A 25,501-nucleotide genomic window follows, 5' to 3' on the forward strand; every position below is an offset into this window, starting at 1 on the left:
TGGGGGGATTAGATGAGGTGATTGTGGGGCCCTTGGAGGTGTGATGCCTCCTGACTCTACTACTGAGTTGGTGCTTCCAAGGAGTGTCAGCAAAGCTTGGCAGACTCTCCAGGCCTGCCTCTGCTCATATCCCCAGGCTGGGCTTACCGGGGTGGCAGGGCACAGGGATGAGGAGGGCTGACCTGGGCAACCCCTCCCTCCTGAGGCCCTCCACTGTCCCTCTGCAGCCACGAGGCCCCCTGGTGGCTGCCACACTGATGAGTTCCAGTGCCGGCTGGATGGACTATGCATCCCCCTGCGGTGGCGCTGCGATGGGGACACTGACTGCATGGACTCCAGCGATGAGAAGAGCTGTGAGGGAGTGACCCACGTCTGCGATCCCAGTGTCAAGTTTGGCTGCAAGGACTCAGGTGAAGAGGATGGTTGGAGGGCGTCTGGAACAGCACAATGTGGGCAGGAGGAGACCGTGTTGAGAGCAGAGTAGCGGCAAAGGGGATGGCACTGTGCTGTGTGGAGTGGTGCTGGGGACAGTGCAAGGCAAAAGGCAGTCCAGAGGAAGCTTGTGTGTCATGGGTGGGGGAAGGCATGAAGGGCCAGAGCCTGCACAGAGGACCTGAGAAGCCAAAACCCTACCAGAGTTGAGCTTCAGCACCTCCTGCTGCAGATTCCTGCCTTGTTTGTTGCCTATGTGAATTTGACCCAAAAAGCCTCGGGGTTCCTCGTGGACCCCACAGCGTTGCAATCCTGACCCTATTAGAGAAGCCCACAGGGTCTGGAAGGAAGGGCAGGGGGAGCCCCAGTCCCCGGGCCTGGGCCCTCATAGTGCACCTGTCCCTCAGCTCGGTGCATCAGCAAAGCGTGGGTGTGTGATGGCGACAATGACTGTGAGGATAACTCGGACGAGGAGAACTGCGAGTCCCTGGCCTGCAGGCCACCCTCGCACCCTTGTGCCAACAACACCTCAGTCTGCCTGCCCCCTGACAAGCTGTGTGATGGCAACGACGACTGTGGCGACGGCTCAGATGAGGGCGAGCTCTGCGGTGAGGCCTGGTCCCAGGAGAAGGGTAGGGAGGGTGGCTGGGTAGGAGTCTGGGCCAAGGACAGTCTTTGGGGGACCTGAGTCTAGGAGAGAGCAGCTCTGGCAGCCGGGCAGGCGAGCAGCACCCAGAGTGGTCACCAGCAGCCTGTGTGGACCTGGCGCTCCCCATGGCGCTGTGCTGAGTGAGCCACGCCATTAGAGCAGTTTATCCACAAGGCATCCCTGGGGGCCAGGTGCTCTGTTTTCTCCGTTTGACAGATGGGAGCACTGAGGCATGGAGGGGTTCCATAGTGGTCCCCCAGACTTGGGCCAAGGTAGTACAGCTCCTAAACTGCTGTGGAGACTCAGACCCCTTGCCCACATGCATACCACAGAGAGATGCGGAGTGCTCTTGTGGAGACAAAGGCACCAGGGTTGACTGCTGATGGTCAGGGCAGGCTTCCTGGAGGATGTGGGGATTGCATGGGGTTCCCAAGGACAGGCAGTACTTGCAGAGTGAGTGAGAAGGCATGGGGGCAGGCGCGGTGGCTCACACCTGTCATTCCAGCACTTTGGGAGGCTGAGGCGGGCAGATCACTTGAGCTCAGGAATTTGAGATCAGCCTGGCCAACATGGTGAAACCCTGTCTCTGCTAAAAATACAAAAATTAGCCGGACATGTCTGCAGTCCCAGCTACTTGGGAGGCAGAGGCAGGAGACTCGCTTGAACCTGGGAGGCGGAGGTTGCAGTGAGCCAACATCCTGCCACTGCACTCCAGCCTGGGCGACAGAGCAAGACCCCATCCCAAACAAACAAACAGGCAAGGGGAGGAGGGTGCCCATTCAAGACCAAAAGAGATGAGGTTGGGGGAGTCCAGGAGTCAGGGAGGACCATGTGGTGTGACTTGGGGATGAGGAGCAGAGCAGCCTTATCTGGTCCTCTTAGCCAGGCAGAGCCCCCAGTTCCTTGGAAGGGAGGAGTGGAAGATAAGGCCACAGGGACTGGCTGGGAGAACTGCCGACAGGCTATCAGTCAGGCTGGCAGTTTCCAGGGTGTGCCAGAGGACCAAGGGTGGTATAGGCCCTGCTGCACCCCACCCCAAACCCCTCCAAATCAGGAGAGATCAGCACAAGGGGACTGGACCTAAGGACCTCCCAGGGTCCCTCCCAGGGAGGCAAAAAGCTGGGGCCCCCGCCCTGGGCCCAAGAAGGCAGGAACATATCGAGACCAGACAGAGATATTGAGGGGTGCTCCCTGTGGGAAGGGGAGGTATGGTGCCAGCTGGTGGGTGCAAGGGTCCCAACTCTGGTCCTGAGGGAGCCCAGGAAGTCCTGGGCTGAAGCTCAGCCTGAAGCTCAGCAGGAATGGAGACGAATGGGGCCGTGGGCAGGGCACAAGGACTTGGTCCAGGCTGCCCAGGACTTGGGGCCCAGCAGGGCCGTGGTCTTGCCTCCTCTCAGCTTCTGACCCTGGGTCTGTTCCATGCCTGCCCCTCCCCTAGACCAGTGCTCTCTGAATAACGGTGGCTGCAGCCACAACTGCTCAGTGGCACCTGGCGAAGGCATTGTGTGTTCCTGCCCTCTGGGCATGGAGCTGGGGCCCGACAACCACACCTGCCAGATCCAGAGCTACTGTGCCAAGCATCTCAAATGCAGCCAAAAGTGCGACCAGAACAAGTTCAGCGTGAAGTGCTCCTGCTACGAGGGCTGGGTCCTGGAACCTGACGGCGAGAGCTGCCGCAGCCTGGGTGAGACAACAGTGAGGTGTGGTGGGGCAGGCCGAGGCAGGCCTCTGAGCTGCAGTGGGTTGGGCTTGGTGGCCAGGTGCCAAAGGCTGAGTTTTCCACCCTAGCCCCCAGTGCCCGGACCAGCAGAGACCTGCCTGCGCCAGGACGGGTGGCACACAGGCAGCTAGCCCCTTGCTGACCCCATCACATCCCTCCCATCCCAGACCCCTTCAAGCCGTTCATCATTTTCTCCAACCGCCATGAAATCCGGCGCATCGATCTTCACAAAGGAGACTACAGCGTCCTGGTGCCCGGCCTGCGCAACACCATCGCCCTGGACTTCCACCTCAGCCAGAGCGCCCTCTACTGGACCGACGTGGTGGAGGACAAGATCTACCGCGGGAAGCTGCTGGACAACGGAGGTGACCACCGATTGCTGCCAGGCAGGATGCACACAGGCGGAGCGCTCAGGCGCTAGGGGCCACAGGTCCCATCCAAGTGGCCCCAAAGCAGAGGCTTGGCTCCCCCATCCCCCACACTTCTGTTCATTGGGTTAGATTTTGCTGTGGGTCTCCATGCCTGACGCCCCGTAATTATCGTCAGCAGAACTGCCAGCCTGATAATTAACAAAATGATCAGCCTTACCTTTGAATGGCCTGGAGCTCTGCTCCCCAGATCTAGAATTGCAGGCTTGAAAGAAAAAAGCCACTTAGGAGTGGCGTACCTGAACGCTGCTTTCTGTCCCAGGCAGCGTGGTGCACCCCAGACTTCCTTCAGTCACACACAATAGTGAGTGCCCACTGTACACACTGGGCAGTGGGCATGCAGCAGTGATCAAAACAGGCTGTTTTCAGTTGTGTGGTCAAGGAAGGTCCCCTGAGAAGGTGACATCTGAGCAAAGGCTTCTAAGAGGCACATTTTACTAGAGAAGTTTGTATTGTTTGTAATAATACAAACTTGAATTTGAAACCATTACAAATGTCCATCAACGAGGGGGGAGGCTAAGTAAACTGTGATGATATCCACACTGTGCAACAGTCTCTAAAACAATGAGGCACACACATAATGTATTAGCATGGAAAAATCTTTATGGCAGTCACTTGAGCTCAAGCAGTTGAGGCTGCCGTGAGCCATGATCATGCCACTGCATCCAGCCTTGGTGACAGAAGACCCTGTCTCAAAAAAAAAAAAAAAGTTGGGGAGACAATAGGAGTCCTACTCTTGAATATGGGCACATCAGAAACTTTGGCAGAAGTGCCAGGGTTGAGGGTGGGTCATCGAGGGCTCCCAGGATTTCACACATTCATGCACAGCTCCCCAGGAGACGCTAACCTTTCACTGCCCTCTCTTCTCCAGCCCTGACTAGTTTCGAGGTGGTGATTCAGTATGGCCTGGCCACACCCGAGGGCCTGGCTGTAGACTGGATTGCAGGCAACATCTACTGGGTGGAGAGTAACCTGGATCAGATCGAGGTGGCCAAGCTGGATGGGACCCTCCGGACCACCCTGCTGGCCGGTGACATTGAGCACCCAAGGGCAATCGCACTGGATCCCCGGGATGGGTGAGGACCTTGCCCAGCCTTCTCCTGGCCCCATGGCCCCCCTGAAGTCCCATTCAGCCTGGCCAGGGACACCTTACTCCTCAGTGCCATCTGCCTCCTCCCACCCTCTACCTACGATCCCACCACAGTCGCTCCCTGAGGGCCCTGACTTTAGCCCTCCTGACCCCTCCCCACTCCCCAGGATCCTGTTTTGGACAGACTGGGATGCCAGCCTGCCCCGCATTGAGGCAGCCTCCATGAGTGGGGCTGGGCGCCGCACCGTGCACCGGGAGACCGGCTCTGGGGGCTGGCCCAACGGGCTCACCGTGGACTACCTGGAGAAGCGCATCCTTTGGATTGACGCCAGGTCAGCACCCTCTGTGCCCTGAGAAGGCCCAAGTCTGTGGCACCAGGACGGGGTGGGGAGGAACCTGTGGTGATGAGGGTGATGAGAAGGACCAAGGGATCTAGAACTAGGAACGGTGGCAAAGGACTGGGCACAGGAGGAGGAGGACGGAGGGGCGTGGGGAGGCCAGGGCCGAGGGGAGGGGGCAGGTAGAGGAGGCGGAAGCAGGGCCATCAGCTGTGGTTATTCACACTGTACCATCCTCTCCACTCACCTGTCCTCTCCACTCTGTTCCCTCTGCTGGGGCTGTGTCTGCCCAGAGGGAGGGGAAACTTCTTTCTAATTGGTCTGCCCAGGGAGGGTGCCTTTTTCTTTTCTTTTTTTTTTTTTTTTTTTGAGACAGAGTCTCGCTCCGTCGCCCAGGCTGGAGTGCAGTGGCGCGATCTCGGCTCACTGCAGGCTCCGCCCCCCGGGGTTCACGCTGAGGGTGCCTTTTTCTGACTTTCATCAAAGCCCTGAGTGCTGACAGCAGCCCTGGGGAGAAGTGACCGAAAGATTCCCTTGGGGCTTGGGAATCGGGGCCTGAGAGGTGAAACCTGGACCTGTTGGGTTCTCACACCTTGGTCCTTCTGTCTGTCTGCTCTGGCCAGCAAGGCTTAGGGGAGGGAATGGTCCCATGCTCTTCGCTGGGAGGGCTGTGGCCAGGGCCCAGAGGGTGGGCACCTGGGCAGAGCTCTGAGGGCTGAGATCCCAGCTGGCATCCTCATTCTGCTCCATCATGCTCTTAGGTCAGATGCCATTTACTCAGCCCGTTACGACGGCTCTGGCCACATGGAGGTGCTTCGGGGACACGAGTTCCTGTCGCACCCGTTTGCAGTGACGCTGTACGGGGGGGAGGTCTACTGGACTGACTGGCGAACAAACACACTGGCTAAGGCCAACAAGTGGACCGGCCACAATGTCACCGTGGTACAGAGGACCAACACCCAGCCCTTTGACCTGCAGGTGTACCACCCCTCCCGCCAGCCCATGGGTAAGGGGCTCGGGGCCTCGAGCAGCCGGAAGGGAGCCAGCAGCCTCTTTAGAAGCTGTAGAAGCTCTTAGGAGAGGAGAGGGCAGTGAGAACAGGAGCAAGTCTGTGCTGGGATGGCAGGGGTAGGCCGGCTGTTGACAGAGGCACTGTCTAGCAGCAGAGAAGGGTCTAGTAGTAGCGGCTGCTGGAACAGGGGGAGGAGAGTGGGCGAGGAAGGGGTGGTCCATGTAGGGAGCAGCAAGTCACAGGATGCTCTGGCTTCTTCTCTTCTCCACCCTGCCCCCAGCTCCCAATCCCTGTGAGGCCAATGGGGGCCAGGGCCCCTGCTCCCACCTGTGTCTCATCAACTACAACCGGACCGTGTCCTGCGCCTGCCCCCACCTCATGAAGCTCCACAAGGACAACACCACCTGCTATGGTAGGAGCCCCTCCCTCCAGAGCCAGTGAGCAACTGAGGCTGGAGGGAAGGCCGCAGGCCCCAGGATCCCGGTTGTCAGCTAAGGCAGAGTCCCAGTCGGGAGGGTCCCGATAGGAGAGGCTCCAGAGACAGCCACTGTGAGAAGGGGCTGCAGGTCTGCCAGGGGGGCTGCACCCAGCGGGGTATGTCCACGGAGCCAAGGGCCAGTAGCAAACAGACGGATCCAGAAGAAGGCAGGGCCTGAAACCGGATTGGTGGGAAGCACAGAGGCAGGGACTGCCTTCAGTGACCAGCCCATGCCCCACAGAGTTTAAGAAGTTCCTGCTGTACGCACGTCAGATGGAGATCCGAGGTGTGGACCTGGATGCTCCCTACTACAACTACATCATCTCCTTCACGGTGCCCGACATCGACAACGTCACAGTGCTAGACTACGATGCCCGCGAGCAGCGTGTGTACTGGTCTGACGTGCGGACACAGGCCATCAAGCGGGCCTTCATCAACGGCACAGGCGTGGAGACAGTCGTCTCTGCAGGTTCTTCCTGGCCCTGGATGCCCACCAGTGGACATGGGCACCTCCACCCGCCCCTTGCTCCCAACCCTGGTCTACTTGGTCCGAGTGGTCCTTCTCCCAGTCCTGTTCCCCCTCAGTGCTCCAGCCTGGTTTCCTGATCCCTTTTCTCCAGAAGGCACACTGGCTCCCCTCCTGACCCACTGCCCTGCAGACACCCAACAACTGACTCCCTACTTGTGCCCCCAGACTTGCCAAATGCCCACGGGCTGGCTGTGGACTGGGTCTCCCGAAACCTGTTCTGGACAAGCTATGACACCAATAAGAAGCAGATCAATGTGGCCCGGCTGGATGGCTCCTTCAAGAACGCAGTGGTGCAGGGCCTGGAGCAGCCCCATGGCCTTGTCGTCCACCCTCTGCGTGGGTCAGTCTAGGGCCCAGGGCCGGGGAGCATGGGGTGTGGGGCTGGGAAGAAGAGGACCCTGACCTTTCCCTCTTGGCACCCTCCCCCCAGGAAGCTCTACTGGACCGATGGTGACAACATCAGCATGGCCAACATGGATGGCAGCAATCGCACCCTGCTCTTCAGTGGCCAGAAGGGCCCCGTGGGTACGAGCTTCCCTGCCCACCCCCACAGCCCCTCCCTAATTCCTTGACCAGCAGGTGCTTGCAGGGTCCTTCAGTTGCCCCTCAGCCTCCCCAGAGCCCTAGCTTAGTGCCTGTTCTCACCATCTGCTCCCTTCCCTGGATCCCCAGCCCTGGGCCAGACTCCCCGGCAGTGACTCCCCCTTTTCCAGGCCTGGCTATTGACTTCCCTGAAAGCAAACTCTACTGGATCAGCTCCGGGAACCATACCATCAACCGCTGCAACCTGGATGGGAGTGGGCTGGAGGTCATCGATGCCATGCGGAGCCAGCTGGGCAAGGCCACCGCCCTGGCCATCATGGGTGAGGGCTGCTGGGCGAAGCAGAGATGACGCAGAGCAGGCCAGGCCAGACCTACTGGGAGACAGGGGCTGGCTTGGGGCAGTCTCTCACCATGTGGGGCGGGCCTGATGACTTAGGGCCAATGGGCCCTTCAGGAGAGCTGGGTGTGGGGCCTTCCCAAGGGTCTCATCCCCTCCTGCTGCCCCAGGGGACAAGCTGTGGTGGGCTGATCAGGTGTCGGAAAAGATGGGCACATGCAGCAAGGCTGACGGCTCGGGCTCCGTGGTCCTTCGGAACAGCACCACCCTGGTGATGCACATGAAGGTCTATGACGAGAGCATCCAGCTGGGTAGGTGCGAGGCCGGGCGGCCGCTGGGGGCTCAGGGGCAACAGGGGAGCCGTCCAGAGCTGCAGGCTGCAGGGCCATGGGGCAAGGGAGTAAGTGGGTTAGGCTGTACCCACCACCCAAAGGGGCTCCTTGTTTCCTTACCACAAAGGCGCCTTGTAGGCTCCCAGCAGCCCTGTTCACAAGGCCAGGGGCCCAGGAGGACAGAAAACCTGAGAGCTGGGTAGGGTGGTGACCCCCATTAGGTCCAGGGTAGTCAGTGACCATCCTGTTTCTGAGCAGCCCAAGCCTGACCCTGAGGTCCCAAGGAGGGCCACCTAACCCTTTCCCTCTGCCTCCCACCTGCCCCCAGACCATAAGGGCACCAACCCCTGCAGTGTCAACAACGGTGACTGCTCCCAGCTCTGCCTGCCCACGTCAGAGACGACCCGCTCCTGCATGTGCACAGCCGGCTATAGCCTCCGGAGTGGCCAGCAGGCCTGCGAGGGTCAGTGCCTGGCTTTCCTCCCAGCCTTGTCCCAGCTCCCCAACCCTGACCCCTCCTACCCTACAGCCCCACCTTCCTCTTCTTACCTTGGGGACAAGACTACATTCGTCGTGTAGGGGACACTGGACTATGAAGTGGCTATGACTCTCCAGTGCCTCCAGTAGGATTTTGGAAAAATAGATGTCAGCAGGCAGATCGGGGCAGCTGCATGGAAGAGGCATGCTCTGAGCTGGGTTTTCTAGGACAAGTAGGATTTGGATGCATTGTTCAAAGGAGAGGGAACTATACACAAGGCAAGGTGTGTGCAGGAGCCCCAGCCAAGAGTGGTGGGCAAAGTGTGGGGAAGTCCTGGAGATAAGGCTGTGAGCTAGGCGGGGCTCCTGTGTTCTGAGCCAGGAGTGCCTGGAAAGTGATGTTTGGGGAAGATCAACCTGGCCGCAATGGTGGTGGGGAAGAAACAGAGGCGGTTAAACCAGTTAGGAGGCCATTAGGAGTAATCAGAGTGTGAGATGATGGGCCTGGGCTGGGCTCAGTAAGGGTTGAAGAAAAGAAATGAAACCCAGACGCATTTCACAAGAACCTGCTAACTGATTTATGAGCTTGCTGGGGGACAGCATTTCCCAAAAGTGCATTCCTAGGAGCCTCCCTCTTTGATGTGGGTAGATTTTACCAAAAGAAACTCTGAGTTGAACAAAGTTTAAAAGTGTTTTGTGCTGCAGAACTTCTCAGAGCCTTGAATATGTTTATGTGTGCCAAGAATTTTTCAAGCGTTTGGGGTTTTCCAAAACTCACTTGACCATTCATTTTTTTTTCACTGAGTCTGAGCAACCAGGGACCATGTGGGGATTCACTTTGGGATGTGCTGTATCAAAGGGATAAAGGCAAGGGAGGATTCTGAGGTGCATGGGTAGTGGTGCCTCAAGACATGGGAAAACTGGGCCAGGCGCAGTGGCTCAAGCCTGTAATCCCAGCACTTTGGGAGGCTGAGGCCGGCCGATCACTTGAGGTCAGAAGTTTGAGACTAGCTTGGCCAACATGGCAAAACTCCGTCTCTACTAAAACCACAAAAATTAGCTGGGCGTGGTGGTGGGCACCTGTAATCCCAGCTACTCAGAAGACCTAGGCAGGAGAATCACTTGAACCGGGAAGGTTCAAGGGTTGCAGTGGGCCAATATTGTGCCACTGAACTCCAGCCTGGGCGACAGATCAGGACTCCATCTCAATTAAAAAAAAAAAAAAAAAAGAGCCAGGTGCGTGGCTCATGCCTGTGATCCCAGCACTTTGGGAGGCTAAAGAGGGCGGATTACCTTGAGGCCGGGGTTCAAGACCAGCCTGACCAACACGGAGAAACCCTGTCTCTACTAAAAATACAAAATTAGCCGGGCATGGTGGTGCATGCCTGTAATCCCAGCTACTCGGAAGGCTGAGGCAGGAGAATCACTTGAACCTGGGACGCGGAGGTTGTGGTGAGCCGAGATCGCGTCATTGTACTGCAGCCTGGGGAACAAGAGTGAAATTCCGTCTCAAAAAAAACAAACAAAGAAAAACAAAAGAAAAGAAAAGAAAAAGAAATGGGATAACTGGGAATGAGACTGGCTTCGGAGTGACCTTAGGGGGTTGAGTTTTTGATGTTGGAGAGAGGGTGTGGCATAGACCAGACAGAGGGAGGACAAAGAGGAAACTAGGATCAGGCTGAGCACCAAACTGGAAGTCTAGATTTTGGAGTCACCTAGTCCTGATTGTCTGGTCTGAACTCCCAGACTTTCCCTAAGGAACTTGCAGGGGTGCAGGGTTGGGTTGTGCTGGGTGGAGGCCGGCAGAGCACAGGGTGAGAAATCCGAGTCTCTGCTGCCCTCTCATGGTGGCTAGGGGTCCTGCAGGTGGTTCCCCAGAGCTACCAGCCAGGTGCGCTTCCTCCCGGCCCATGCTCTGGCCTCAGGCTAGGGTGTGTGTGCTGGGTGGAGGATAGGGATGATGGTGGGGGGGGATGATATCAAAGGAGAAGCAGAGAACAGTTGGAGGGTGACAGGAACCAAGTTTAAGGGAGTGTTGGCGATACCCATGCCTTAAGTTTCCTTGTCTTTCAGGCGTAGGTTCCTTTCTCCTGTACTCTGTGCATGAGGGAATCAGGGGAATTCCCCTGGATCCCAATGACAAGTCAGATGCCCTGGTCCCAGTGTCCGGGACCTCGCTGGCTGTCGGCATCGACTTCCACGCTGGTGAGCCATTTGGTGGCAGAGGGAGTTGGGCGTGGCGTAGGAGCTTTAGGGGTGGTGTGGTGTGCCCTGAGGGTCCAGTGAGAGGCTGCCTGAATTGGCCTGAGGTGGGGCACTTGCTACAGCTGCCACCCTGACTCCACCTCCCCTTCAAGCACCTGGCCCCTCCGGCACTCTCTCACCTCTGTCTTGAGCCTTGTGAGATTTTGACCCCTCACCTTACCCCTGCCTTATTGGGCATCCCCATGTCACCTCCTCCACCTCCAGAAAATGACACCATCTACTGGGTGGACATGGGCCTGAGCACGATCAGCCGGGCCAAGCGGGACCAGACGTGGCGTGAAGACGTGGTGACCAATGGCATTGGCCGTGTGGAGGGCATTGCAGTGGACTGGATCGCAGGTGAGCAGTGGGCAGGTTTGTGGGGCTTGGGGTGTGGCAGAGGACTGGGGGACGAAGTGAGAGGAGGAGTTGGCGGGAGCAGGAAGAGGAGCTGTAGGGGTGCCTGGGAGCTTGGAGACACCAGGTCCACCTGTCCTCACCTAACCTCCCTGAGCCCCACCAACTCCCTCCTTAGGCAACATCTACTGGACAGACCAGGGCTTTGATGTCATCGAGGTCGCCCGGCTCAATGGCTCCTTCCGCTACGTGGTGATCTCCCAGGGTCTAGACAAGCCCCGGGCCATCACCGTCCACCCGGAGAAAGGGTGAGGAGCTGGAAAGACTGGCCTTGTCATTCTGCCCATGGCCCATGCTGATGAGGCCCTGTCTCCTCCAGGGTCTGAGGACTGACCCCCACTTCCACCCCCACCCTACAGGTACTTGTTCTGGACTGAGTGGGGTCAGTATCCGCGTATTGAGCGGTCTCGGCTAGATGGCACGGAGCGTGTGGTGCTGGTCAACGTCAGCATCAGCTGGCCCAACGGCATCTCAGTGGACTACCAGGTTCGCACGCCAACTTGGCCTTGGATCCGATGGTAGACCCCTGACCCAGGCTCCTGTTCCCTGTGATGAGCCCATTCTGGGAGGACTTGGAGCCCAGGGGAAGTCACAGGGTCTCCCAGCCCAGCCCTCCACCCAGAGTAGGACTCCTGCTACCACAGAGATGATGGGCAGGGGTCGCTCAGAAGTGGGGAGTGGGGGAGTGGAGAGATGCCTGGAGGTCACCTTATCAGCAGGGCAGTGGGCAGGAGTGTATGCAGGAGGCAGGAGTGAGTTAGGGGAGGCTGAACTGAGGGCCTCACTCTGGCCCAGGCACTCCCTGCTGCCCCAGACATGGGGCTGGCAGCGAGCTCAGCCCTGGAGGTGAGGTGGGTGCCTCTGGCCTGTAGGATGGGAAGCTGTACTGGTGCGATGCACGGACAGACAAGATTGAACGGATCGACCTGGAGACAGGTGAGAACCGCGAGGTGGTTCTGTCCAGCAACAACATGGACATGTTTTCAGTGTCTGTGTTTGAGGATTTCATCTACTGGAGTGACAGGTGAGGGCTTCTGTCCTGGCCTCCTCAGCTGATCTCTTCCTTCCCTCCTGCCTCCACTGATGCCCTGCTTGTGCCCTGTCCTTCCCTCAGGACTCATGCCAACGGCTCTATCAAGCGCGGGAGCAAAGACAATGCCACAGACTCCGTGCCCCTGCGAACCGGCATCGGCGTCCAGCTTAAAGACATCAAAGTCTTCAACCGGGACCGGCAGAAAGGTGAGGCTGGGGCTCTGGGCTGGGGTGGAGAGGTGAGGGGGACTCTGGCCTGGGAGAGTGCTCCCCAGGGAACCCAGTGTGAGAGGGCTGGGAGACAAGTTAGACCCATGGGGCAACTTCCGATGGCCCGAGAGACCCAGGGATGGGGAGGAAAGGCTGAGGTGCTCTGGGACAGATCTTGGCATTGGACTCTGGGCCCTGGAGGGTCATTCAAGCTGGGAATACCGAGGCAGAGGGCAGAGCTTTCGCCAAAGCCTGGATGACAAAGGCACCAGTGAGCCTTTCCCAAGGCAGGCCCTGCCCTCTGTACCCTCCCCTCCCCCAGGCACCAACGTGTGCGCGGTGGCCAATGGCGGGTGCCAGCAGCTGTGCCTGTACCGGGGCCGTGGGCAGCGGGCCTGCGCCTGTGCCCACGGGATGCTGGCTGAAGACGGAGCATCGTGCCGCGAGTATGCCGGCTACCTGCTCTACTCAGAGCGCACCATTCTCAAGAGTATCCACCTGTCGGATGAGCGCAACCTCAATGCGCCCGTGCAGCCCTTCGAGGACCCTGAGCACATGAAGAACGTCATCGCCCTGGCCTTTGACTACCGGGCAGGCACCTCTCCGGGCACCCCCAATCGCATCTTCTTCAGCGACATCCACTTTGGGAACATCCAACAGATCAACGACGATGGCTCCAGGAGGATCACCATTGTGGAAAGTGAGCCCAGACCCTAAGTCTTCCCAGGAAGTGGGACATGGGGCGGGGAGCAGCACAGACTCTTAGACCCCAGCCAGGCACTCTACCCTAGGTCTGAATCCCAGCAGCTACAACTCAGCTGAATCCAACTGCACCCCCGCAGTTACATGACTCCTGATTTGGAGTCAGCGTCAGCCCCCGACTTCCTCCCGCCACTGGTCCTAGTTCTGCCTTCAGAGCTGCACAGAACAAGCGAGAGGTCTCTGTGGAGCCCAACGCTCACAAACCCAGGCTGCAGACATGGGGCTGAGCTCCAGTCACTTGGGCTTTCAATAACTTGGGTCAGTTTCCTGCTCTTGCCAAGCCTGAGCCTTCTCATCTGCGTGGATGAGTGTCTCATCTGAGACAGGATTCCTCGAGCTGCTGCGCAGGAAGGCTTAGCTCAGTGATGCTGGGGACGGAGTGTGTGCTCTGGAAAGAGCAGTTACAGTGTCAGGGCTGTCATCACAGGACAGCCTTTCAGCTCTTTGAAAACTGCATCCTGCTACATTTTCTCTTCTTCAGCCTGGTTACCACCGGGTCCCTTGACTCATTCATTTGCTCATATATTCATTCAGCTGGTCCATAAAGACCTGCCAGGCACCGAACTAGGTGCTACGTATACAGACCTGTCCTTTCAGCCTTTTCTGGGACATTTTCTGCTGCACATAGTCCAGCCTGCATGTCTGTCTAAAAATGTAGCATCCGAAGCTAAACTCGGTACTCCATGCTCGTAGCTTGATCAGGAGAGACTGGCACATCAATCCCCAGACCCCTGGAAGGGATGTCCCCTCACCTCCGGCTGTCTGCAGACCATACCACAGCATGGCCCTTTGGCAGCCACCATCGCTTATAGCCACTAACACTCTAGTCTTTTCTCTTACACTGCTGTTCGGCTGTGTCTCTCACTGTGCCTTGGTTCTTTAACCTGAGTTTAAGATGTCTGCTTTATAAAATAATCAATCCAGCTCAGGGTCTTTTTAAGTAGGGGGCTCCCCAGTACAGCCCAAGCAGGATTTGATTTACAGAAATCTACATTGCACTCAGCTCAGCAGAACTGCAGCTCCAGGAAAGTGCAAACACACCAGAAAGCCCGATTGCCCTCAGTGGGAGAGGGTTGAGAGGTGACCACAGGTCATTTGAGTGAGGACAGCAGAGGTTGGGGGCACTGAGTCAGACCCTGGTGCCCCCGAGCCCTCTCTGCTGCACCTCTTGCACTCCCATACCCCACACTTCGCCTTCCAGCCAGGAGAGCACCTGCCCCAGGCTGTCCCCCACGGCTCCTGTGCAGGCTGCCCTCTGGGCCCTCCTGACAAATCGCTGCTCCTGTCTCTTCACAGACGTGGGCTCCGTGGAAGGCCTGGCCTATCACCGTGGCTGGGACACTCTCTATTGGACAAGCTACACGACATCCACCATCACGCGCCACACAGTGGACCAGACCCGCCCAGGGGCCTTCGAGCGTGAGACCGTCATCACTATGTCTGGAGATGACCACCCACGGGCCTTCGTTTTGGACGAGTGCCAGAAGTGAGCTGCTGCCTGGGGATGGGGGTAGCAGGGAGAGGTGGGACTCGGGGTGGCAGAAACTCCCCAGGCAGATCCAAGCGGGGGTGCAGGAGAGGCAGGCCCTCACTTGAGCTCCACCCTTCCCTGCTGTGTGATCTGGGGAGAGGTGCAAAAGCTTCCTAAGCTTCAGGTTCCTCTTCTGTGATACAAGCTGGCTAAGATTCCAGCTGCCTGCACCAAAGGGAGCATCAGGACTGTGGGGGACGCTCTGCCTTTGTGATTGATTCATTCATCAGAGCACCATGTTGGAGGCACAGGGTAGGGCCTCTAGCTCTGGGATCCAAAGCTTCAGGCAAAGAATGTTTGTCGAACCCTTCGTACAGAAGCCTAAGGCTGGGCCTACCAAGCCACCTAGCTGGGTTGAGAAGTCATACTTGTGGGAAGTAATGGTAACTGGCACAGGGCTGTATACGGGTGACCACAGGTGTCATGAAGGCAGTAGATTGGCCCAGAGCCTGGAACTGGAAAAGACAAGGAAGGCCAGCTCGGACAGGGGAAGTGCTTTGAGCAAAAGCCTGAAGAAAGGCAAATTCAAGGCAGGGAGGACAGAGGGGGACCTCTGCATGCCATAGAGCATAGGCAGGCCTGAGCCCAGCCAGGAAGTGAGGTCAGGGTGCGGAGGAGTTAGGAGCACAAGCCAGGACAGGTGGCAGAAAGCACCCGGGGGTGGGTGCTCCCCCTGGAGGGTTCACCCGCAGTCAGCCTGCTCTGTTCTCCCGCAGGGGCAGCCCTCATCCCGGCTGTTTGGGCCTCTAGTGAGCCACCCCCTCGCCTTAGGGATCCAGGCCCACATGTTAGCAACATTTTTTTCCCAATTCAGCAGTGCTTGGAATGTTTTTCAAAAGCTTTACTAGGAAACTAGTAAACACAACCCAAAGCAGCTGTATAGATACGTGAGTGTCCCGAACCCAGATTCCCCCCACCAGTCCCCCAATGTCAGTCACCTCCAACCTGGCTCAAGGACCCTCTGTTTCCTCCTGCCTCTGTCATCTGGCACATCTGCAGCTGATGATGAAGGTCCAGTCCCCCCTTCCATGACCCTCGGCTGCCTCACCTGTCTGGGGATGGCCTCAGAGCCTGTCCCTCATGAGTCTGGAGCTTCCCTGGAGGGTCCAGCAAGGCTGCCTGGCCCTCGTCCCAGAGGACGTGACCCCCTGGCTGCCCACCAAGCTCCTTTCTTATGAGGCCAGGGGATTCCATCACGCATTCAGCGAGTGGCTTTTGAGGGCAAAGAAGGTGCAGAGGACCCAGTGGGGAGCGCGAGGGGCGTCATGAAGAGCTTCGTGGCTGTGTGCTGAGGACTGGCCCCACCTGGAAGTCAGGGAACGTGTCCTTGAAGAGGCGGCATGTTAGCCAGCGTCTGAGGATGGCAGGAGTGGCTGGGTGGGAGCATGGTCCCAGTGCCCAGGAGAAAGAGCTGAGCTGGCAGGAGGGGCCCTCCCCCTGGCCACAAGGAGCAGGCACTTTCGGGGAATCAGAAGGAGCCAGTGTGGACCCCAGTGGAGAGGGCAGGGGCAAGTGGAGACTCCAACAACCCAGCCTCCTCCTGAGCCCTCCCCGCGTCAGCACTGGAGCACTGATGGCCCTGTAGAGCTCACAGTAGGATAGTTAGAAGGTCCGCCATGTTCCTGGACACTGAGCACCTACCCCAGGAAAGCCTCTCTCTCCCTCCTGCCCCATTCCTGGGAAGCAGGTTCACCCAGACCACAGTTGTGTCACATGGAGGAGTTTGTTGACGCCAGGAGGAAAACCACTTCTCACTGCAGGTGTGAGTAGTTTCACCTGAGGTGTAGGAGTTCCTGGTGGGGACTGACAGGCCAAGTCCAATCCTGACAAGCCAGGAAGATGACTGGCCACTGCCCCAGGATACCCATTTTCCCTTATGGAGGCTAGAAGGACACGCCGCCTCCCTCCCAACTTACATCCCGATTCCAGAGCCACCGCAAACCCCTGCTCTCCTCCAGGATGAGGCCCTTAAGATCAGAGCTTCTCACGAGCTCGCCGAGGCTCAGGGCAGCCAGTGTCTCCAGAGGGGCAGAGCAGCACCATTTTCCTACGTGAGCCCAGCAGAAGGCGGGATAGTTCAATGGTGCTGGAGACGCTGGGGGTGGGCAAGAAGGGTGTGACCTGGAGAGGTCTGAGGAGACAAGTTCACAGGCCAGAGGACAGATCTGTGGCCAGAATGGTGAGGGGCAGAGGTAGGAGGAGGCCAGAGGCACTGGGGTGGGGGCGGGGGCAGGTCCTGTTAGGGAACTGGAGAACGGAGCTGGCTTTTGTGTGGCTTGGTGGTCTCAGACTCCACTGTGCCTAAGGATCGCCTAGGAGCAAGAGAATGTGGAGTCCCCTGCCCCGCCCTGGGCCTAGCTGAGTGACAAGCTCTGGGACCGAGGACCCAGGGCTCACCATCCAATGCCGGTGGTCCAAGGACCACTCTGTCACACCCAGGGTAGTGCATGACCAGCCCTGAGGCCTTCCACAGCCCCCCTCCAGCCTCAGCACCACCCCACAAGGAGCACGGCATAATTGGGGGCTGGCTGTTCCCATTGCCTCCTTTACTGAGAGGAAACCAGGGCTCAGAGGGGCGACAGGCTCATTCAAAGTTGGAGCCGTTACGAGGCAGAACGGTGGCTCCAACCCCAAACATGCAAAGGCCTCAAAGTACGGAGAAGGGGACTCTTGAGAGCTGCTTGAGGATAGGACCCACATACCCCAGGACCTGGGACACATGCCACACTCAGCTCCACAAGGGCTTCCTGAATGATCTGGAAGACAGCCAGCCTCCCTGCACAGAAGAGAGCAGTTAAGAATAAACTCCTGGGAAATACTCACATAGTGTGTGCCATCTGTCCTTAAGATGGAGATTAACTTCTTCCACTCTCACATCCTGCGAGGCAGGTGGTGCTACCATCCCCACCTCATAGAGGAGGAAACTGAGGCACAGGGCAGTTGAGTAAGTTGCCTAAGGGCACCTAGCTGGTGGGTGGTGGAGCCAGGGCTGGAACCCCAGGGCCTGTCTCACTTGGCTGCACCGGCTCTCTTCTCAGCAAGTAGACGGTCACTGCCCAGATACTGCAATGTGAATATCTCACACTTGGCCCTCATCCCCTCACACTCAGCCACCTCGTGTGTGAACTGTCTGTGCAATAGTGGGGCCCTTCCTGGGCATTGGGGCACTGCTGGCCTCTATGGCTCTGGGGTGGCTTTGCCCTGGCAGGCTTCCAGGTTCCAGGTGCCTACGCGTCCTGGCCTGTGCCCTCTGTTGTGGATTCTCAGGCTTTGCCTCCTGATCTCTGGACCCTCTTCCCCCAGCCTCATGTTCTGGACCAACTGGAATGAGCAGCATCCCAGCATCATGCGGGCGGCGCTCTCGGGAGCCAATGTCCTGACCCTTATCGAGAAGGACATCCGTACCCCCAATGGCCTGGCCATCGACCACCGTGCCGAGAAGCTCTACTTCTCTGACGCCACCCTGGACAAGATCGAGCGGTGCGAGTATGACGGCTCCCACCGCTATGTGAGTCTGCGGGGTGGGTGAGCTGGCGGGCGGCTGAGGGGAGGCCAGGGCCAGGGTCAGCCGTCAACCAAGACCGTCCAGGCACAGACATGGTGGGAACAGCTGGGAGGAGGTGAGTGCCTCCAGGCCCCAGCCTCGGTCAACCCCACCCTGTCCAGCTTGCTCCTCATCAGCTAGACGAGGGAGATAGCAGGATGCCTCTGCGGGCCCTCATTCTGTAGCTGTCAGAGGCCAGGCCAGGCTGTGGTCCGGTGGAGACTGGGCAAGAGGCCTGAGCGATGCTGTGACGGTGATGGTGCTGTCTCCACAGGTGATCCTAAAGTCAGAGCCTGTCCACCCCTTCGGGCTGGCCGTGTATGGGGAGCACATTTTCTGGACTGACTGGGTGCGGCGGGCAGTGCAGCGGGCCAACAAGCACGTGGGCAGCAACATGAAGCTGCTGCGCGTGGACATCCCCCAGCAGCCCATGGGCATCATCGCCGTGGCCAACGACACCAACAGCTGTGAGTGGGGCTGCCGCCAGCTGCCTCACCCTCCTGCCTGTCGTGCATGGACATACAAACACACACCCCACACACACATCGCACATACCACACGCACCCTACACATACCACACACACACATCCCACACATACTACACTACACACACCACACCACATACACACACCACACCCCTCCCACACACTCAACACATACACACCACACCATACACACCCCCCACACACCACATACACATACACCCCCAACACATACACACACATACACACCCCACATACACACACCACACATATCACATGCACACCCCACATATACCACACCACACACATACCACACACACACCACACACCACATACACACCACACATACCACACACACCCCACACATACCACATACACACACCACCACACACACTACACATACCACACACACACCACATACACACACCACATACACACACCACACATGACACATACACACCACACATAGGACACACATACACATGCCACACACCTACCACCCACAACACACATCACACACACACCACACAGCACACACACACACCACACACCACACGTACCACAAACATGCCACACACACACACACACATCTCACAGACATACTATAAACACCCCACACCCCACACACCACACCCCACACACACTTGCCTGGTCCTGCTCTCCCTGGGCCTCCATTACACAGACACACACAGCTGTACACACCTTTGGAACCGCAAAACCCCCAGTGCTCCTGTACCCCTTCCCACCAAGGCATCTACGCACACAGATGGACTCTGCACACGCCTGGCATCTCCTCCACGTTGCACACACACATTCATGTCACACCCGCCCCTCAGGGCTCATCCATGCCCTCGGTGCCCCTACCCTCACCCTGGTCACTCTCCTCACTTGGAGCCACACAGACAGCCGAGAGCCTGGGTGCACGTGCCCTCAGTGGGCACGAGTACATGCCCCAGCGCCCCCCACCACAGACCTGCAGCTTTCCCAGGTGTCTCCCATGCGCCCTGGGGCTCACTACTGCACCCGTGATCTCAGGGCCCTCAGACTCGAATCTCTCAGAAACACTCCTCAAAGCCCACGGTGCCCTGCCTAAAAGCACACACATCCTCAACGGCACACCTGCCGAAAACCCCATGCACCTGGCCCTCCCACAGCAGCCATCCCCATGCCCTCCCCACTGGCTGCAAGCCGCTGTGCCTGCCGTGACTGAGCAGAGGCTTGGGAGCTCCATGAAGTCAGTGAATGGGTGGGTGCACTCTGGGTGCATGCACAGCAGAGAACACTCTCCAGCCCTGCGCCCACCCTGTCCCTGCTCAGGTGAACTCTCTCCATGCCGAATCAACAACGGTGGCTGCCAGGACCTGTGTCTGCTCACTCACCAGGGCCATGTCAACTGCTCATGCCGAGGGGGCCGAATCCTCCAGGATGACCTCACCTGCCGAGGTGAGAGAGGCGGGGGGGAGGGGCTGGCGGGGAACCCAAGCACACACCAGGGATGGTGACCATCTCCCCTACATGCTCCAGCCCAGCCCCCCAAAGCCTTTTGCCAAGAAGACGCTGATGATGACCTCAGCTCCCCGGGGGAGGAGGCGTGGGCACTGGGGCCCACAGCGCTGGCTCAGAAAGCTCCCTCCACCTCCCTCCCCAGCGGTGAATTCCTCTTGCCGAGCACAAGATGAGTTTGAGTGTGCCAATGGCGAGTGCATCAACTTCAGCCTGACCTGCGACGGCGTCCCCCACTGCAAGGACAAGTCCGATGAGAAGCCATCCTACTGCAGTAAGGAGCCCCCTGCAGCCCCTGCCTCTTCCAGGCCCAGAGCCCAGGTCCTCCTCCCCCAGGCCCCTGCAGGATGGAGCAGGATCAGGACCCAGCTTCCTGACCATGAGTTTTGGGAGCTCATGAAGGGCAGAACCACTGTTAGCCTGGACTGGGCCTTTGGGTTTGGGGGTGGCCAGCTGGACACGTGCATGACGTCTCAGGGAGGCAGCCCTTTCCCTGTGCCTGTGGCTGACACGCAGCCTACTCCTCCATTTGCAGACTCCCGCCGCTGCAAGAAGACTTTCCGGCAGTGCAGCAATGGGCGCTGTGTGTCCAACATGCTGTGGTGCAACGGGGCCGACGACTGTGGGGATGGCTCTGACGAGATCCCTTGCAACAGTGAGTGAGGCGCACTGGCATAACCCATCTGTACCTCAGTTCCTGCCCCACCCCTCCCTGGCCAAGCTTTGTCCCTGGGCCCCGTGGTGTCTGGTTCAAGGCACTCTGTGACAGGCCAGGGCAGGTGCTGTGGGCCAGGAGCTCTGTCCTGCGTCCTTCTGGCCCCCACAGAGAAAACTCTGGCCTGACGATACGGGGCGGGCACTGTTCTAGAGACAGCCTGTGGTGTGGGCGAGTTCCGCTGCCGGGACGGGACCTGCATCGGGAACTCCAGCCGCTGCAACCAGTTTGTGGATTGTGAGGACGCCTCAGATGAGATGAACTGCAGTGAGTGACGCCCTTTGCTGGCACCTCCTGGGCTCCTCCCCATCGCTCACTGCATCTCCCGCCTTCAGGCCCTCCTGCACCTGCCCACATTCCTCTCTGCCTTCCCTCATCCCCGCTGACAGCCTCCATCTCCCTGAGGCCCTGTCCCCATCCCGCTCCTGCTCCTGGGCTCTCGTGGGGTTCCGAGAGGGGGCAGTGAGCAGATGGTGCAGACAGTGCCCCACCAGAAGGGCACCGTTCAACTTTTGGAAACACATGAAGGCTCCATAGGGCTGGCAGCTGCCCCAGTCGGGGGTGATCCAGGGGGAACCAGGTATCACCCTCACCCCTGCCCCCACCAGGTGCCACCGACTGCAGCAGCTACTTCCGCCTGGGCGTGAAGGGCGTGCTCTTCCAGCCCTGCGAGCGGACCTCACTCTGCTACGCACCCAGCTGGGTGTGTGATGGCGCCAATGACTGTGGGGACTACAGTGATGAGCGCGACTGCCCAGGTGGGCGGGGGCAGGTGTGTGGTGGGTGGTGGCCTGCGGTGAGCAGGGCCCTCACACCTGCCTCGCCCCCCAGGTGTGAAACGCCCCAGATGCCCTCTGAATTACTTCGCCTGCCCTAGTGGGCGCTGCATCCCCATGAGCTGGACGTGTGACAAAGAGGATGACTGTGAACATGGCGAGGACGAGACCCACTGCAGTGAGTGACCACTGCACCCACTCAGTGCTCCAAGAGCCTGCTGGGCCCCACTTCTTAGTCCCCCCCAGCAAATGCCCCCTTGGAAAAGGGCATCCAGAGCCTTCAACCCCCTGCCCCACACCCCAACTCTTGAGGTCAGACTCAGAGACTCTGCCTCTAGCTGCTGCTGAGCCCCCCCACAGAGGGGTGCTGTGGGCATCTCTCCTGTCCTTCCCATGGCATCAGCCTCCCCAGGTGGGTGACCCCCACCCTTCCCCATCTAACTGTGGCTTCTGACTGCCCCAGACAAGTTCTGCTCAGAGGCCCAGTTTGAGTGCCAGAACCATCGCTGCATCTCCAAGCAGTGGCTGTGTGACGGCAGCGATGACTGTGGGGATGGCTCAGACGAGGCTGCTCACTGTGGTAAGGAAGCTGGGATTGGGCCGGGGGAGGTGCCCCAGGGAGGGACAGACCCCACCCAACTCCACCCCACACACAGACACCCCTGCAGACGACGGCGAACCATCACCTCCACTGCTAGACCTGATCTACCCGCTCCTAAGTCTCTCAGTGGCCCTCTCTCCCCCTACAGAAGGCAAGACGTGCGGCCCCTCCTCCTTCTCCTGCCCTGGCACCCACGTGTGCGTCCCCGAGCGCTGGCTCTGTGACGGTGACAAAGACTGTGCTGATGGTGCAGACGAGAGCATCGCAGCTGGTTGCTGTGAGTGGCGGGGCCACGTGGAGCGGGTGGACAGCAAATGGCCACAGTCTCACTTTGCAGATGGGGAAGCCGGGGTGCAGGAGAGGAAATGCCTCAGCGGGGTCCACTGGGGGCGGAGCCATAGCTGTAGCCCAGGTGTCCAGACTCCTCATCCAGTGCCCTGCCCACTCTACCAGGAGAACCACAGGAGGTTAGAGTGAGGGACGGTCGGCCGCTGGCCAGGCAGGGCTGAAGGGCTGTGTCCACCTCTGTCCACAGTGTACAACAGCACTTGTGACGACCGTGAGTTCATGTGCCAGAACCGCCAGTGCATCCCCAAGCACTTCGTGTGTGACCACGACCGTGACTGTGCAGATGGCTCTGATGAGTCCCCCGAGTGTGGTGAGCCTTCGGCGGTGGTGGGAGGAGGCCCTGCCCTCTGCCGGGCCAGGGCATCAGCCTCACAGGTCCATTCCTCCCCCAGAGTACCCGACCTGCGGCCCCAGTGAGTTCCGCTGTGCCAATGGGCGCTGTCTGAGCTCCCGCCAGTGGGAGTGTGATGGCGAGAATGACTGCCACGACCAGAGTGACGAGGCTCCCAAGAACCCACACTGCACCAGCCAAGGTGGGCCCCAGACCTGGCTCCCCTCTGCCCCCTCCCCAGACTGCCTGAGACCCCGCTGACCTGCCGCCTCCGCCCCTCCGCAGAGCACAAGTGCAATGCCTCGTCACAGTTCCTGTGCAGCAGTGGGCGCTGTGTGGCTGAGGCACTGCTCTGCAACGGCCAGGATGACTGTGGCGACAGCTCGGACGAGCGTGGCTGCCACATCAATGAGTGTCTCAGCCGCAAGCTCAGTGGCTGCAGCCAGGACTGTGAGGACCTCAAGATCGGCTTCAAGGTATGCCCAGCCCTGGGGAGGAGCTTCCACACCCCAGACGTGCCAGGAACGCCTTTCTCCACTGCCTTATTCATTCATTCATCCCCTAGACAGTGGGGATACAGCAGTGAATGAGACAGAAATCTGCTTGGTTGGGGTCTGCCTCTATCTGGCAGGTAGAGAGCCAGCAGATTTGCTGACAGATGAGATATGCAGTGTGAGAGGAAGAGAGGAGTGAGGCATCAAGTAGGCAAGAGATACACAGGTCTGGAGTTCAAGGAGAGGCCCAGGCTGGAGAGGGAAGTCTGGGAGTTATCACCATAGAGATGCTATTTGAATCTGTGAGCCTGGATATGATTCCCAAGGGAGCAGTGTAGGTGGAGAAGAGAGGAGTCCAAAGTCTGAGCCCCGAGCTGAGCAACAGCCAGGAGCAGGGAAGTGAGGGGACCAGCAGAAGAGCCTGAGAAGGAGCAGCTGCTGAGGCAGGAGAACAGCCACGAGAAGAAAGCATTTCCATGGGGAGGGCACACGCAGCTCTGTCAAATGACACTCGGGGGCACACAGAAGGAGGCCTGCACTGTGGGCCAGCTGGGTGGGCTCAGTACCCATATGCTGCTGCCCCTAGTGAGGCCGGGTAGAGGGAATTGGAGTCTCTGAGCCAGGTCTCCAGGGTGGGAGGCCCAGACCCTGCCACATGCCCAGCCCAAGGCTCCCTGTGCCTGCAGTGCCGCTGTCGCCCTGGCTTCCGGCTGAAGGACGACGGCCGGACGTGTGCTGATGTGGACGAGTGCAGCACCACCTTCCCCTGCAGCCAGCGCTGCATCAACACTCATGGCAGCTATAAGTGTCTGTGTGTGGAGGGCTATGCACCCCGCGGCGGCGACCCCCACAGCTGCAAGGCTGTGACTGGTGAGATGCGCGCTTGGAGGGCATGAGGTGACCCAGGCTGTGTGGGACTGCCCGGGTGGCAGAGCTCCAGACAGGCAGGAGACCAGGGCCGCTAGAATGTGCCAGGAGCTGAGGCAAGATCCTCTGTCTGCAGACGAGGAACCGTTTCTGATCTTCGCCAACCGGTACTACCTGCGCAAGCTCAACCTGGACGGGTCCAACTACACGTTACTTAAGCAGGTACCAAACCCAGGCCCTCCTCCCCGCTGCCCATCTCCCAGACCCAGCACAGCCTCCCTTGCAAGTCTCCCCGCTTAGGTCCAACCATCCCTCCCCCAGATGCAAATGTGGCCCCTGTTGCCACAACCGACTTCTGCTGTCCTTCACTCCCCAAATCCAGGGCCTGAACAACGCCGTTGCCTTGGATTTTGACTACCGAGAGCAGATGATCTACTGGACAGATGTGACCACCCAGGGCAGCATGATCCGAAGGATGCACCTTAACGGGAGCAATGTGCAGGTGAGGCGGGCGGCCCTCGGCGACCAACACTGGCCCGCCTCAGATGACTGTTTTCAGATCGTCTCTCCTTCCCGCCCCACCAACCCAAATTGCTTCCTTCTCACTCCACTAGTCACTATATGACTGCTTGTTCTAGCTGCTCACTCTCCTCTGGGCCCAGACAGCAAGGACTGGGAGATTCCTCTTGCCCTTCCCCTCGCTGCCAGCCTCATGTCTCCTTAATCATCAGGAAGTTCCCTGTGAGGTCTGGCCAAGCACTGTGAGGCTTGGGGCGTGGTCCCATTCACCTAGAGCCCCCTCTCCTAGAGCCTCTGCTGACACCTACACAGTGTCAGGCCCAGGACTGGGCATTTTACTTCCATGGTTCTCCCACCAGAGCTGTCAGAGGGAGCTCTACCCCATTTTACACGAGGGGAGGCTGAGCCTCACAGAGGCTTGCAGGTCCTCCCCCAGGTCACCCAGAGCTCTCCCTCCCCTGCCCCTTCCTGCAGGTCCTACACCGTACAGGCCTCAGCAACCCCGATGGGCTGGCTGTGGACTGGGTGGGTGGCAACCTGTACTGGTGCGACAAAGGCCGGGACACCATCGAGGTGTCCAAGCTCAATGGGGCCTATCGGACGGTGCTGGTCAGCTCTGGCCTCCGTGAGCCCAGGGCTCTGGTGGTGGATGTGCAGAATGGGTATGTGGCTGAGGAGGGTTGGGGGAGCCCCTGAAAGCAGCATCCAAGCCCAGCCTCCCTGCAGGCCACTGGTGCGATGGGTTACGGGATCTCCCAGG

At 59.0% G+C, this 25,501-nt stretch overlaps 1 protein-coding gene and 1 non-coding gene across 2 annotated transcripts in view, besides 4 other annotated features; both read left to right on the forward strand.

Annotated features, from left to right (window-relative positions):
* LRP1 (LDL receptor related protein 1) overlaps positions 1 to 25,501 on the forward strand; it is an 84,879-nt gene that overhangs the window by 44,458 nt on the left and 14,920 nt on the right. Inside the window, exons 21-59 of the mRNA NM_002332.3 lie at positions 228 to 410; positions 840 to 1,040; positions 2,520 to 2,765; positions 2,969 to 3,166; positions 4,101 to 4,305; positions 4,487 to 4,651; positions 5,419 to 5,663; positions 5,950 to 6,081; positions 6,389 to 6,616; positions 6,842 to 7,016; positions 7,107 to 7,201; positions 7,390 to 7,539; positions 7,727 to 7,867; positions 8,217 to 8,351; positions 10,439 to 10,570; positions 10,835 to 10,969; positions 11,145 to 11,274; positions 11,386 to 11,512; positions 11,899 to 12,050; positions 12,141 to 12,265; positions 12,591 to 12,968; positions 14,327 to 14,516; positions 17,865 to 18,069; positions 18,380 to 18,572; positions 19,905 to 20,030; positions 20,236 to 20,364; positions 20,626 to 20,745; positions 20,959 to 21,072; positions 21,414 to 21,563; positions 21,637 to 21,759; positions 22,045 to 22,161; positions 22,331 to 22,459; positions 22,718 to 22,840; positions 22,923 to 23,063; positions 23,147 to 23,337; positions 24,042 to 24,225; positions 24,359 to 24,444; positions 24,605 to 24,724; positions 25,216 to 25,403. Coding sequence (NP_002323.2) covers positions 228 to 410; positions 840 to 1,040; positions 2,520 to 2,765; positions 2,969 to 3,166; positions 4,101 to 4,305; positions 4,487 to 4,651; positions 5,419 to 5,663; positions 5,950 to 6,081; positions 6,389 to 6,616; positions 6,842 to 7,016; positions 7,107 to 7,201; positions 7,390 to 7,539; positions 7,727 to 7,867; positions 8,217 to 8,351; positions 10,439 to 10,570; positions 10,835 to 10,969; positions 11,145 to 11,274; positions 11,386 to 11,512; positions 11,899 to 12,050; positions 12,141 to 12,265; positions 12,591 to 12,968; positions 14,327 to 14,516; positions 17,865 to 18,069; positions 18,380 to 18,572; positions 19,905 to 20,030; positions 20,236 to 20,364; positions 20,626 to 20,745; positions 20,959 to 21,072; positions 21,414 to 21,563; positions 21,637 to 21,759; positions 22,045 to 22,161; positions 22,331 to 22,459; positions 22,718 to 22,840; positions 22,923 to 23,063; positions 23,147 to 23,337; positions 24,042 to 24,225; positions 24,359 to 24,444; positions 24,605 to 24,724; positions 25,216 to 25,403 — 6,307 coding nt within the window. The remainder of the gene's footprint in view (positions 1 to 227; positions 411 to 839; positions 1,041 to 2,519; positions 2,766 to 2,968; positions 3,167 to 4,100; positions 4,306 to 4,486; positions 4,652 to 5,418; positions 5,664 to 5,949; positions 6,082 to 6,388; positions 6,617 to 6,841; positions 7,017 to 7,106; positions 7,202 to 7,389; positions 7,540 to 7,726; positions 7,868 to 8,216; positions 8,352 to 10,438; positions 10,571 to 10,834; positions 10,970 to 11,144; positions 11,275 to 11,385; positions 11,513 to 11,898; positions 12,051 to 12,140; positions 12,266 to 12,590; positions 12,969 to 14,326; positions 14,517 to 17,864; positions 18,070 to 18,379; positions 18,573 to 19,904; positions 20,031 to 20,235; positions 20,365 to 20,625; positions 20,746 to 20,958; positions 21,073 to 21,413; positions 21,564 to 21,636; positions 21,760 to 22,044; positions 22,162 to 22,330; positions 22,460 to 22,717; positions 22,841 to 22,922; positions 23,064 to 23,146; positions 23,338 to 24,041; positions 24,226 to 24,358; positions 24,445 to 24,604; positions 24,725 to 25,215; positions 25,404 to 25,501) is intronic.
* Positions 178 to 391: a silencer, noted in NCBI's record as "fragment chr12:57566901-57567114 (GRCh37/hg19 assembly coordinates)". NCBI's record gives its function as "represses an EF-1alpha promoter that drives an FKBP-Casp9 reporter gene in an ReSE screen in K562 erythroleukemia cells {active_cell/tissue: K562}" and the evidence as "EXISTENCE:reporter gene assay evidence [ECO:0000049][PMID:32094911]".
* Positions 3,624 to 4,823: an enhancer, noted in NCBI's record as "CDK7 strongly-dependent group 2 enhancer chr12:57570347-57571546 (GRCh37/hg19 assembly coordinates)". NCBI's record gives its function as "activates an origin of replication core promoter dependent on BRD2, BRD4, P300/CBP, MED14 and CDK7 cofactors, with strong dependence on CDK7, by STARR-seq in HCT116 cells {active_cell/tissue: HCT116}" and the evidence as "EXISTENCE:reporter gene assay evidence [ECO:0000049][PMID:35650434]".
* Positions 10,122 to 10,171: a silencer, noted in NCBI's record as "silent region_4575". NCBI's record gives its function as "represses an Ori minimal core promoter by ATAC-STARR-seq in GM12878 lymphoblastoid cells {active_cell/tissue: GM12878}" and the evidence as "EXISTENCE:reporter gene assay evidence [ECO:0000049][PMID:35858748]".
* Positions 19,620 to 20,119: an enhancer, noted in NCBI's record as "H3K4me1 hESC enhancer chr12:57586343-57586842 (GRCh37/hg19 assembly coordinates)". NCBI's record gives its function as "activates a minimal SCP1, AML or CMV promoter by ChIP-STARR-seq in naive H9 embryonic stem cells {active_cell/tissue: H9 hESC(naive)}" and the evidence as "EXISTENCE:reporter gene assay evidence [ECO:0000049][PMID:30033119]".
* MIR1228 (microRNA 1228) lies at positions 21,564 to 21,636 on the forward strand. The gene has a single exon (NR_031597.1). It is a non-coding gene; the product is annotated as a microRNA 1228 (primary transcript).

This window comes from Homo sapiens, chromosome 12 (assembly GCF_000001405.40).
Source record: "Homo sapiens chromosome 12, GRCh38.p14 Primary Assembly".
Taxonomy (NCBI): Eukaryota; Metazoa; Chordata; class Mammalia; order Primates; family Hominidae; genus Homo; species Homo sapiens.